The 13878-nt window shown below is 35.6% G+C and overlaps 1 protein-coding gene across 13 annotated transcripts in view; it reads right to left on the reverse strand.

The window, feature by feature from the left end:
* The window catches only part of CEP128 (centrosomal protein 128), a 482534-nt gene that overhangs the window by 23688 nt on the left and 444968 nt on the right, over positions 1–13878 (reverse strand). For all 13 annotated transcript variants that reach the window (NR_157142.2, XM_047431023.1, XM_011536493.3 and 10 more), the window contains one exon: positions 4256–4364. Coding sequence is in view for 12 of the 13 variants with exons in the window: in XM_047431023.1 (XP_047286979.1) it covers positions 4256–4364 (109 nt within the window). In the remaining variant the exon portion in view is untranslated. The remainder of the gene's footprint in view (positions 1–4255; positions 4365–13878) is intronic.

The following is a 13878-nucleotide window of genomic DNA, read 5'->3' on the forward strand; positions in this document are numbered from 1 at the left end:
GAGTCAGCTATGATCACCTCTTCCAGTTTTATTTTCTGTATTTATTTCATTTTTGTAAAACATGGAGAAGCCTATATTGCTATTTTCTGATTTATATTTTTAGACATTATCCACACCCACCCCCTTCTCCTCACCCCATACTCCCAATATAGTTACATATGAGCTTTTAGTTATATGACTGTTTACATTATTATGACTAAATATGGCTCATGAAAACATAGTAAGGATACTATGACATTTCTCTTCTTGTTCATTTTTTCCTCCTGGGTTTATTAATTGACTCTTGTTTTAATTTTATTTCTTTTTATTTGCTCTTTCTCTGTGACCATCTTGCTTCTAAGTGCTCAGTTAGATCTGCCATATGTCCACTAGTAGTCTTTTTTTTTTTAAGTGTTCAATCGTATCAGATATCTATTAGCTTTTTGTTTGTTTCCTGCAAATTTTCTGGATAGAATCTTTCCTTTCTTCCTTCAGTGTGGCAGAATTGAAAAACATGAGTGTCCAGATAAAAAGTAGCTAGAAGAATAAATAAAACAAGACCCACACTGAGGCACATCATCACAAACTCACTGGGGTGAAAGAGAAGATCCTAAAAGTTCCTGGAGCGAGGAGTAGAAAGGATGTGGTAGGGTAGGAAGGAGGCGCAGAAGATGACTTCAAAGGAGTGACAGTCTTTATCTACGAATGAAGGATTTTTCAACAACAACATTGGATTTTGGAGGATAATTGTTCAATGACTTCAGAGAGAGAAAATCATTTTCAACTAGAATTTTATATAATGGAATAAATCTACTTTTAGAAATACAAACACTAAAAATATTTACCTCCTTTTCTTTCTTTCTTTTCTTTTTCTTTTTCTTTTTTTTGTAATGGAGTCTTGCTCTGTCACCCAGGCTGGAGTGCAGTGGCGTGATCTTGGCTCACTGCAACCTCCGCCTCCCGGGTTCAAGCGATTCTTTTGCCTCAGCCTCCCGGGTAGCTGGGACTACAGGCACCCGCCACCACGCCTGGCTTATTTTTTGTGTTTTTAGTAGAGATGGGGTTTCACCGTGTTAGCCAGGATGGTCTCGATCTCCAGACCTCGCGATCCGCCCACCTCGGCCTCCCACCTCCTTTTCTTTGGTGTGCTCTTGAGGTAGGAGGTGGGACTAGACTCCAAAGGCAGGGCTTCGACACCTGCCCAAATTGAGGACTAGCTAAAATGGGTCTCAAGCAGAAGCACCTCTCCATAAGACACGTCCACAAGTGTGCCTGTCAGTTTATCATTGCCACGGCAACACGACACACCTGTCGCCATTTTCCTGGCGAAAACCCAACAACCTGGAAGTTACCACCCTCATCCCAGAAATTTCTGCATAAGTTGCTCTTTAATTTGCATATAATTAAAAGTGGTTATAACTGTGAGTGCAGAACTGCTTCTGAGCTGCTGCTCTGGGCACACTGCCTATGGGGTAGGCCTGTTTTGCAAGGAGCAGGACCTCTGCTGCTGCTGTACACTGCCGCTTCAATAAAAACTGCTGCTAACACCACCGGCTTGCCCTTGAATTCTTCCCTGGGTGAAGCCAAGGACTAAGCCTCAATTTTGGGGCTTGCTTGTCCTGCATTACTCTCATAAAAGAAAAGAGTGAAACAAGAAAGAGGAAGGTATAGGATCTGGGCACACGGGCATCAATATAGGAAAAGAGTGAAGGACAATCTCAGGATGGCTGCTGTGCAGTGGGTGTTTGTTGGGTGGGCCTGGCCACTCCTGGCCTCTTGTTCTGTTTTCTCTGTTCTCTCAAGACGCACATGAATCATCTATTGCCCCTCCTGAATTGCTTTTCTAAAAATTTTATCTTTTCTCTCTATTGTCTCATTCTTTTTCTTTTTCTTCTCCTTTCTTTGTGGTTATTTCACATTGTTTTCCACCTTTCTGGTTTTCTTTACTCTTTATGGCAATCATATTTTAAAATTCTGACACCGCTTAGTCTGTGTCCCTTTTTCATAGTATTTTGCTCTTGTTAAATGTAGTGGATTTAATATTTTCTCTTATCTCTCAAAGGGTATTAATGATATTCTTTAAAACATCCTCTGTTCCCTGTATTACTCATTTGCCGTAAGTTCTGTTTTCCTCTTTGTTGGTCTCATCTCTTCTTTTTAATTCTTCAATTTAAAGGGAGATTAAAGAAAAATTACAGGACAATTTCTGTAACTGAGCTGAAATTTTGCTACAAAAAATGAAGTATTCAGGGTAATCCTAATGTTTCTCACTGCTAATGTGCCCCATTATTAAAAACAGAAAACTTAAGGCTTATCAGAAAAGCAAATAAGAATGTTTTCTAGAAATAATTATAATTCAATTACTTGAAAGTAATTAATGATAAGGTAGCTAGGATTAAATTTTTTAAAGTATTTTTGAAAATATGGGGATAGGTCTGGGAAGAAAATCATAAAACAAACTTGTACACAAGAAAAATAGTAAAACAAGACTATGGATTAATCAGTTAATTAATTTACTAATTAATTAAACTAATGAAGAGTTTTACTTTTTAGGTTAAATTTTTCAGTTAGATTTTACAATGTAAACTATAATAAATGTTTTCTTTTTCAAATTATGCTCTTGATGATATATTTTCCTATTTAACTTTATTTCCTTTTCAGCCAGTGTATATCTATAGAAACCTATAGTTGCTTGTGAGAAATATATCTTAGAGAAATGACCACAATTGGTCATGAAATGCTAGTGTTGAAACCTAAATACAGGTTCTTTCACTGCCTATCATAGTACTAAATACAATTCCAAAATCTTGATGTTTTCCATTTAATGTCTTCTAACCACTTCCCTCTAGGTGCATTTCTAGAAAGGCTTATGAAGGTCATAATGGCAAAAGTAACAGCAGTATAACAATCTGTTTTCACATTATGATGCTGTTTATCTCCAGGCTCTTGAATGTCTGACTAATTGGGACACTGTGATGTTTCATGGTGTGAAGTCCCTACTTCCACCTCCATGCTTGTTTATATTAGAAGGACTTGGAGAAAGTTTTCCATTGCTAAATATGAAAGAAAAAAAATTTGGCCTATGTGTATATCAAATTCTGAGGTGCCATAACCAACTTGAGGTCCATATTGAAGGGTGGTTCTTGGCTTATGTAGATACAAAATCACTTGGGAAAATGATTAGGACAGGAAGACAAAATGCTCAGCATTTAGACTAAAATAATCATGAAATAATGAAAAACCACACCACTTATCAGAAATCGATAAATATTTATTCAATGAATCCATGAATATAAACCAGCAAAAATAAGAGTTATCACCTTTGGATTTGACCTACTTCCTAGTGGCTTATTTTGGCATTTTATTTTACAGCAATATAGCTATATTAAATGACAGAATTATCAAATTTAATGTATAACCCTACAGGCCCATGGTAAACTGAAGAGCAAAATTATTACCTAAATAAAAATCCATTAAATAACATTTGGATCCCAATAGTTTAGATAAATGTGGACTTAACAAAAACAACTTATATGTATATTAATTGAATATTAGTTGAGTATTTACTATTTGCCAACTACTATATAGAGTGCCAAGGAAACAGTGGTGAACAAAACAGGCACTCCTCCTATCCTCAAGATATAAAGAAAAATTGTAGCACACTGTGGGTGCTCATAACAGAGACTACACTTCAAACTGTGAAGCTTCTTTAAGGAAATTACATATAAGCTGAAACTTGAAGACCACATATAGGAAGGAAGGGAGACGGCAGGGATAGATCGTGGCAGATGGCATTTTGGGCCAATGGACTCATACATTGTTGATATTGATGATGACATTTATCAAGATTCACAGAGTGAAATCTAGCAGTAATAGTATTCTTACTCTTTGTACAAGATTACATATTTCTCAACATTTATATGCAAAGAACTTCAATTTTTTGATAATTTGAACTTTATTATAAAATAACTTTCTTTACTCATTCATCCATAGTTACTGGCAATCTCCAAACGAAAAATTTGCCTAATTAAGATTTTCACCTTGGGTGGTTATTTAAGTTATTCTGAGAAGCGTAAAGTCTAAAAAGGAGGGATTCTACATATTTTTAGTAAACTGTGTACTATTATGAATATCCTTGAACATTTTTTGTATGATTCATGAGGATTTTCTCAGACTTATGAATATTACTATCATATACTGGCCTTAAACTAATTTTCCCATGTGTTGCATTTTCTTAAATCTAATTTAAAAATGGGTACAAGACTTCATTACTTACAGTTCACGTATGAAAATCTTGGACTAGACAGGAAGCGACTGTGATCCTGCCAAGAGGATGAGTGATCTAACCCACGAGTGTGGGAACCTTCCAGAAAGGTTCTGTCACCCTAAGGAAAAAAAGGCACAGCATTTCAATGATTACACAAGGTATGGACCAAGGCTCATTTAAACGTACTGAAGCTGAAATTAAATCTTAATATACAAGCTATGTTGTACATGCACAATTTAATATAATTATAATCACTGTAAAAATAAAATATGTGCATGTTAAGGATAATTTGGAAAAAAGAAGAAATCACCCATTGCTATAGCAACATGACATATTTCTTTCCAGTCTTTTTCCCCCATGAATAGAATTTATAAAACTTTGTGTTTAACTTAAACTTATGCTATAAACATTTTTGAAGTCATTATTTATCCTAACCTTTAGCTTATGAGTTACTCTTATACTATCTAGTGGATATACTATGTTTTACTCAGCCATATTTTATTGGCATTTAGGTGGCTTCCCAATGTTTTACTCATATACATAACACTGTGAGAAATATCTTTAAACTTATAACCTTTTCCATATTTAGGACTATTCCTTATGACAAATTCTTATGAAAAAATACTGGGTCAATAAAAATAATTGGATGTTTTAAAATACATTTAGCTAGACTGCTTTCTAGATTATATTCGTCTTCTCACTCATTTAATAAATATTTACTAAATGAAAATGAACCCAGAAAAGGTCCTTCTCCTCATGTATTATATGAATGTGTCCTTCTCCACTTCTTTCAGCTATAACTTTAAATAATTTTACTAATAAAATAGATTTAAAATACGTGTTTAATATACTTTCCTTTGATAAACAGTAAAACTGTACTTTCTTCCCATGAACGCTTCCTACTTATTTACTGTACTTGTGGTTTTTTTCCTTCTTTCACTCATTCATTCATTCATTCACAATAATTTATTGGGCACCTACTATGTGCTAGGCTAAGAGAAAGCAAGACATTGGGGTCTACAGTCAGAAAGCCTTCAGGCTTGCAGAAGAGAAAGGCATTAAACAAATAAATGATATAATAAAAACTGTAAGTGCTATAAAAACAGGTAATAACAGGAAGAACCAAGTTTAGATTTAGGATTCAGATAAGACCCCTCTGGGAGGTGACAGTTAAGGCAATATTTGAATGTTGAATATGAATCCACGAAATCAGCCAGGCGAAAATGTATTGGTGGGGCATGAGAAAGCAGAAGGTAAGGAGAAGGATCAGGGAGGGCAGTCAGGGAATGATGTTCCAGACTCAAGTAAGTGTGGAGGTGAGAAAGAGTTTGGTGTGTCTGAAGAACTGGAGGAAGACCCCACAGCTTAGGTACACTGAGCCTGGGGGAAGCGATTACAGTGAGGTCCAGGGCCATGCTCAGGATTTGAAACTCTTTTTTTTTTTTTTTTTAAGTACAATCAGAAGGCAATCAGGAGTTTAAAGGAGAAGGATGACAAGCTTTGATTTATTTTTTTTTTTTTCAAAGATCACTTGGGCCTCTGTTTGGAGAATGAATTGAAGCAGCACAGGATTGAAGGATGAATATCAGTTAAGACCATAACTGAGGATAACAGCAGGGTTCTAGGGAGATGAAAGAATCAAGAAATGTTGGCAAAAATTCCATATCTGTGGGTTAGGTGGCCCAGAAAGATTTCTCAAAATATGGTCCCAACATGGAGTAAGGCCTCGTGTAACATGACCATCTGATGAATTAGCCATCCTTCTCTTTACCAAGTACCGACTTTATATTTTATTTCTGTGTCACATACAATGTACGTAAGTGCAAAAGAAAGGGCAAACATTTTAAAAATATTTTCAACAGGTCCATATATTTTGAGCCAAAGGCACGAACATAATCCTCAGGTGGTTCAAGATCATTAGCTTTCATGTTCCAAAGGGAGATGATATAGTTAGGGTATTTTCCCATGCCCCAATCTCATGTTGAAGTGTACTCCCCAGTGTTGGAGATGGGGCCTGCTGGGAGGTGGTTGGGTCATGGAGGTGGATCCCTCATGGCTTGGTGCCGTCCTTGCAATAGTGAGGGAGCAACCAGGGAGATCTGGTTGTTTAAGTGTGTGGCACCTCCCCTCAGCTCTTGCTGCTGCTTTTGCCATGTGAAGTGCCTGTGCCTGCTTCACCTTCTGCCATGAGTAAAAGTTCCCTGAGGCCTCCCCAAAGCCAAGCAGATGCCGGTATCATGCCTGTATAGCCTGCAGAACCGTGAGCCAATTTCTTCGTAAATTACCCAGGCTCAGGTATTTCTTTACAGCAACACAAGATCAGACTAATACAGGAGGTTAGCTAGATTTAAGATGAAGACCCTGAAGTTTTTAACCAAGGGATTTTCAATTTTCACTAATTATGGGAATTTCATAAGAAACTCGAAGTCATTCACTGCAGGATCTCTGGAAAGGAAAGGATATACATTATGCCCCAAATATATTCCAACAACTACTTTAGAATGAGCTGACATTGGGCAACTAGAGGCAGGTAAACTAGCTACTGTAGTTCAGATGTGACATACTACAGGTGTGGCTGAAATTGCAAGATGTATAGATGGAGAAGAGGGTTATGATTTCAACCAATGCTAGAAATCTCCACTGAATCATGGTTTTGATATAAATCATGGTTTTGAAAGAGAAAAGCATAATAAATGGTTTCCCACTAAAAGATGCTTTGATGATTAGAGGCCAATAAGGGGAAAGCAAACACACACTTTTACTCACTAACGCCACAACTGAGACAGACAGTGAGAGGACAGGAGTAGAGACACAGGTTTGAGTATCTTGTTGAAACAGATGGTGTAATGGTGGCTTCAAAATGCGCCTACCAGAGGAAGGATGAATTAAACAAAGATATTTAAATACTATTCATTCTTCCTAAAAGGCATGGTTTTAAATTTCTAAAAAAAAGTCAACTGGCATCAAAGCATTGGTTATATATTTTCTATTTAGGGAAAAATAATAATTTAATTTTTTTTGTTTATTTTTGAGACAGAGTCTCGCTCTGTTGCCCAGGCTGGAGTGCAGTGGCACGATCTTGGCTCACTGCAACCTCTGCCTCCCAGGTTCAAGCGATCCTCCTGCCTCAGCCCCCGCTAGTAGCTGGGATTACAGGCATGTGCCACCATGCCTGGCTAATTTTTGTATTTTTAGTAGAGACAGGGTTTCGCCACGTTGACCAGGCTGGTCTCGAACTCCTGACCTCAGGTGATCCACCTGCCTTGGCCCCCCAAAGTGCTGGGATTACAGGCGTGAGCCACCGCGCCTGGCCTAATTTAAATTTTTAATGATGAAGCCAGTTACTTGGCATATGATAGTCAAAATATGGCACTGACATATTTCATTCTAGCAAATTTAAAAACTATGGAAAAATTCAGGAGAAAAATTATTCAACAAATATTTTAAAATAAAAACTTATTAGCATAATTTAAGGATACATTTTCCCAGGTCTTACTTATAAATATCTATTTGTATGGAGATCACCTTCGTTGATGATTTCGTTTCCTATTTTTTCATGGGAATTTTCTCTATCATGATCATCATTATCATTATTAGGGTTATATAGTATTTTATTTTACTAATTTCCTATTGTTCAAAATTTACAATTGATTCCAGTATTCTCTGTTATAAATAATCATTTGATAAACATCTTGGTACAAAAACTTTTGTCCATATTTTTATGTATTTAACATAAATTCCTAGAATTGAAATTACTGAATGATACATTTTAAGGCTTTTAAAAATATCATTTTCATTTCAGCTGAAAAATTTACTGGTAGAGTAATTCATAACATTTACTAAACATATGTTGTCAAAAATTACTTAAAAACTTTTTATGGGTACAGCACAGTTGTATATATTTATGGAGTACATGAGGTATTTTGATACAGGCATACAGAGTGCAATAATCCTGTATTAATCTGATTTCACACTGTGATAAAGAACTACTGGAGACTGGGTAGTTTATGAAGAAAAAGGGTTTAATTGACTCACTGTTCCGGATGGCTGGGGAGGTGTCAGAAAACTTACAATCATGGCGGAAGGAGAAGGGGAAGTAAGGACCTACTTCACATGGCACCAGGAGAGAGCGAGCATGGGAAACTGCCACTTTGAAAACCATCAGATCTTGTGAGAACTCCCTCACTATCACAAGAACAGCATGGGGAAAACAACCCCCATGATCCAATGACCTCCCATTTGGTCCCTGTATACCTAGAAGTGAGATACCTAGCTGGATCATATGGTAGTTCTATTTTTAGTTTTTTGAAACTCCTCCATACTGTTCTCTACAGTGGCTGTACTAATATACATTCCAACCAACAGTGTATGGGGGTTCCCCTTTCTCCACATCCTTGCTAGCATTTGTTATTGCCTGTCTTTTGGGTTAAAAGCCACTTTAACTGAGGTGAGATGATATCTCAGAGTTGTGATTTACATTTCTCAATGATCTTGAGCCCATTTCCTACACCTGTTTGCCATTTGTATATCTTCTTTTGAGAAATGACTATCCAGATCTTTTGCCTGTTTTAAAATCAAATTATTAGATTTTTTTCCCTATGGAGTTGTTTGAGTTCCTTATGTATTACAGTTATTAATCCCTTATTAGATGGATAGTTTGCAAAAACTTTCCCCCATTCTGTGGGTTGTCTTTTCATGTGGCTGATTGTTTTCTTTAATGTGCAGAATCTTTTTAACTTTATGTGATCCCAGCTCTCCAGCTTTGGTTGCCTGTACTTCTGGGGTATTCCTCAAAGTCTTTGCACGATCCAATATCCTGGAGAGTTTCTTTTTTCTTATAGTAGTTTCATAATTTGAGGTCATCTATGGCTTTAATCCATTTTGATTTGAATTTTATATATGATAAGAGGTATACATTCTAGTTTCATTTTTCTGCATATGAATATCCAGTTTTTACAGTAATATTTATCAAAGAGACTGTCTTTTCCCCAATGTATGTTCTTGGAAACTGTCAAAAATAAGTTCACTGTAAATGTACAGATTTTTTTCTGGGCTCTCTATTCTGTTCCATTGGTCTATGTGTCTGTTTTTATGCCAGCAACATGCTCTTTTGGTTACTATAGCTCTGTAGTATAATTTGAAGTCAGGTAATGTGATTCCTCCAGCTTGGTTCTTTTTGCTCAGGATGGCTTTGGCTATTCTGGGTCTTGTGGTTCTACAAAAATTTTTGGATAGTTTTTTCTATTTCCATGAAGAATGTCATTGATCTTTTCATAGGGGTTGCACTGAATTTGTAGATTGCTTTGGGTAGTATGGACATTTTAACAATATTCTTACAATCCATGACCATAAAATATCTTTCCATTTTTTTGTATGTGTCCTCTTCAATTTCTTATATCAATGTTTTATAGTTTTCATTGTAGAGATCTTTCACTACTTTGGTTATGTCTATTCCTAGGTATCTTCTTTGCGGGTATTGTAAATAGGATTCCTTTTTTTGATTTCTTTTTCACATCGTCCACTGTTGGCATATAAAAATGCTACTAATTTTTGTATGTAGGTTTTGTATCCTTCAAATTTACTGAATTGGTTTATCAGTTCTAATAGCTTCTCAGTACCAGTAGAAGATCATATCATCAGCAAACAAGAATAATTGACTTCTTCCTTTCCAATTTGGATGCCCCTTATTTCTTTCTCTTCTCTGATTGCTCTAACTAGGACTTCCAAGGCTATGTTTAATAGCTAGTGAAAGTGGGCATCCTTGTCTTGTTACAGATCTTAGAGGAAGGGTTTTCAGTTGTTCCTCATTCAGTATGATACTAGCTGTGGGCCTGTCATATATAACTTTTATGGTGTTGAGATATGTTCCTTTTAAAATCCCTCTAAAACCTGAGTTTTTTGAGGGGTTTTTTTTTTATCATGAAGGATGTTTATCAAATGCTTTTTCAATATCAATTGAAATGATCATATGGATTTTGTCCTTCATTCTATTGCTATGATGTATGACACTGGTGGATGTGTGTATGTTAAACCATGTTTGCATCCCTGGGCTATTATGAATAATCTTTTTAATAGATTATTGAATTTGGTTTGCTGGTATTTTGTTGAAGATTTTTTTCATCAATGTTCATCAGAGATATTGGCCTGTGGGTTTTTTTTTTCCTTTTTTTTTTTTATATGTCTTCTTCTGGATTTGGTATCAGGGTAATACTGGCCTCATAGAATGAGTTTGGGAGTATTCCCTCCTCCTCTATTCTTTGAAATAGGTTGAGTAAGATTGGTATTAGTTCTTTAAGTGTTTGTTAGAATTCAGCAGTGAAGCCATCAGGTCCCAGGCTTTTCTTTGCTGGGAACCTTTTTATCATGGCTTCGATCTCATTACTTGTTATTGGCCTATTCAGGTTTTGGATTATTTTCCATGGTTCAATCTTAGTAGGTTGTATGTGTCCAGAATGTATCCATTTTATCTAAGCTTTCCTATTTATTGGCATATAATTACTCATTGAAGTCTCTGATGATCCTCTCTGCAGTATCAGGTGGAAATTAGCCTCCATTTTCCTCTCAGATTTTATTTATTTGGGTCTTTTCTCTGTTTTTCTTATTCTGGGTAAAGGTTTGTCAATTTCATCTTTTCAAAAAAACAACTTTTTGTTTAGTTGATATTTTGTATTTTTTTCATTTCACTTTCATTTATATCTACTCTGATCTTCATTATTTTTCTTCTACTAATTTTGAGTTTAGTTTTCTCTTGCTTTCTGTTTCTTTAAGATGCATCACTCAGTTTTTTATTTGAAGTTCTTCTGCTTTTTTGATGTAGGCATTTATTGCTATAAACTTTCCTCTTCGTACTGCTTTTGCTGTACCCCAGAGGTTTTGATATGCTATGCTTCCATTTTCATTTGTTTCAAGTAATTTTTAAATTTCTCTTAGTTTCTTTATTGATCCACTGGTCATTCAAGAGCATACTGTTTAATTTCCATGTGTTTGTATAGTTTCCAAATTGATTTCTAGTTTTATTCCCTTGCAGTCAGAGAAGATACTTGGTTTTTCAATTTTTTTGAATTTTTAAAGAACTGTTTTGTGCCAAAACATATGGTCTATCCTTGTCAATGATCCATGTGCTGAGGAGAAGAATGTCTTCTGCAACCACTGGATGAAATGTTCTGTACATATCTATTAGGTTCATCTGGTCTATACTACAGATTAAGTCTTATGCTTCTTTGTTGATTTTCTATCTGGACAATCTGTCCAAAGCTGAAAGTGGGCTGTTGAAGTCTTCAGCTTTTATTGTATTGGTATCTTTCTCTCTCTTTAGCTCCAATAATATTGGCTTTATATATCTGGGTAATCCAGTGTTGGGTGCATATATTTTTACAATTGTTATATCCTCTTCCTGAATGCACCCCTTTATCATTATATGATAACCTTGTCTATGATAACCTTGTCTTTTATAGATTTTTGTTTAGAGATCTATTTTTTCTGATATAAGTATAGCTACTCCTGCTGTTTTGGGTTTCTGTTTGCATGAAGTATCTTTTTCCATCCCTTTATTTTTAGTCTACATATGTCTTTATAGGTGAAGTGTGTTTCTTGTAGGCAACAGACCATTGGGTCTTGTTTCCTTTTTCAATCCATTCAGTCATTCTGTGTCTTCTGATTGGAGAATTTAGTCTATTTACATTCACTGTTATTATTGATAAGCAAGAACTTACTCCTGTCATTTTGTTATTCATTTTATGTTTGTTTCCTGGTCTTCTTCTTCCTTTCTGTCTTCCTTTTTGTAAAACTCTGGTAGTATGTTTTAATTTCTTGCTTTTTATTTTTTGTGTATCCATTGTAGGTTTTTTGATTTAAGGTTATCATGAGGTTTGCAAATAACATAACATGTTATTTTAAACTAATGATAACACTTCAAGAACAAGCAAACTAACAAACAAGCAAAGAGAAAACCAATAAAAACACTTTAACTTCACCCCTCCCACTTTTAAATTTTTGTTGTCTCTATTTTTATCTTACGCCATTTATGTCCTGAAAAGATGTATTTGTTTTTATTTTTGATTGGCTTATCTTTTAGTCTTTCTACTGAAGGTATGAGTACTTTATACACTGTAATTGCAGTGTTATAATGTTCAGATTTTTCTGTGTACTTACCATTACCAGTGAGTTTTGTACCTTCAGATGATATAGTATTGCTTGTTAATATCCTTTTACGTCAGACTGAAGGACTCCCATTAGCATTTGTTATAGGACAGGTCTAGTGTTGATAAATACCCTCAGCTTTTGTTTGTCTGGGAAAGTCTTCATTTCCCCTTCACATGTGAAGGATATTTTTCCTGGATACACTATTCTAGCATAAAAGTTGTATTCCTTCAGCAATTTAAATATGTCATGCCTGCCTCTCCTGGCCTGTAAGATTTCCACTGAAAAGTCTGCTGACAGATGTATGGGAGCTCTTTGAATGTTATTTGTTTATTTAATCTTGTTGCTTTTAATTTTTTTTCCTAATACTTGACCTTTGGGAGTTACATGTTTTGAGGTAGTCTTATTTGGGTTAAATTTACTTGGTGTTCTATAACCTTCCCGTACTTAAATATTTATATCTTTCGGTAGTTTTGGAAAGTTCTCTGTTATTATTTCTTTGAAAGACTTTCTACTCTAATCTCTCTCTCTCTAGCTCCTCTTTAAGGCCAAAAACTCTTGTGTCTGTCCTTTTGAGGAGAAGACTAAGCTCTATTTTTTAATCTTGCCCAAATTCCTGTCTAAGGGGTCTGGAGAGTTGTGCCCTACAAACTATACATTCTCATCAGATGGGTTTTATTTAATTCTATATATCGTGACTTACTTTCCAATCTGACTCTGGCATAACAGTACAACACAAGGAAGAAAATCAAAATATTTTACCCCAAAACACGTTTTTCTGCCATATCTTGAAATGGCCCTGCAAAGCCATCCTTTGTGTGGGAAAATCTGCGTCTGTGAAGAATCTCTACTAACATAGCTAGATCTTTTTCTTCCAGGCCCTCCCAATCCTGAAGAGATTAACTAAAAGCCTAGCACCTTTTAACGATCTGAATAGGAAATACTTGTCATCTATTGTCTCTAAGGGCAGCCACTATAAGACTTCAAAAAGACCTTGGTCTCCACAATCTTTTATCTTTACCTGAATATTTCCTTTCTATTGATCCCAAGTCTTTAGATAAACTCAACCAATTGTCAACCAGAAAATGTTTAAATTTACCTATAGCCTGGAAGCCCCTGCTTTGAGTTGTCCCACCTTTCTGAACCAAACCAATGTATTTGATTGATGTCTCATGCCTCCCTAAAATACATATACCAAGCTGTACCCCAACCACCTTGGGCACATGTTCTGAGGACCCTCCTAAGGGCTGTGTCATGGGCCACAGCCACTCATATTTAGCTCAGAATAAATCTCTTCAAATATTTTACAAAGTCTGACTCTTTTCATCAACAGAGGCTATTTTCTAGATCTTATAGGTGTACTTCATTATTTTTTTTTTTGTCTCCTCTGACTGTATATTTTCAAATAGCCTGTCTTTAAACCCACTAATTGTATCTTCTGCTTAAGCAATTCTGCTTTTGAGTCACTCTGATGCATTCTTCAGTATGTCAAT

Source organism: Homo sapiens, chromosome 14, assembly GCF_000001405.40.
Source record: "Homo sapiens chromosome 14, GRCh38.p14 Primary Assembly".
Taxonomy (NCBI): Eukaryota; Metazoa; Chordata; class Mammalia; order Primates; family Hominidae; genus Homo; species Homo sapiens.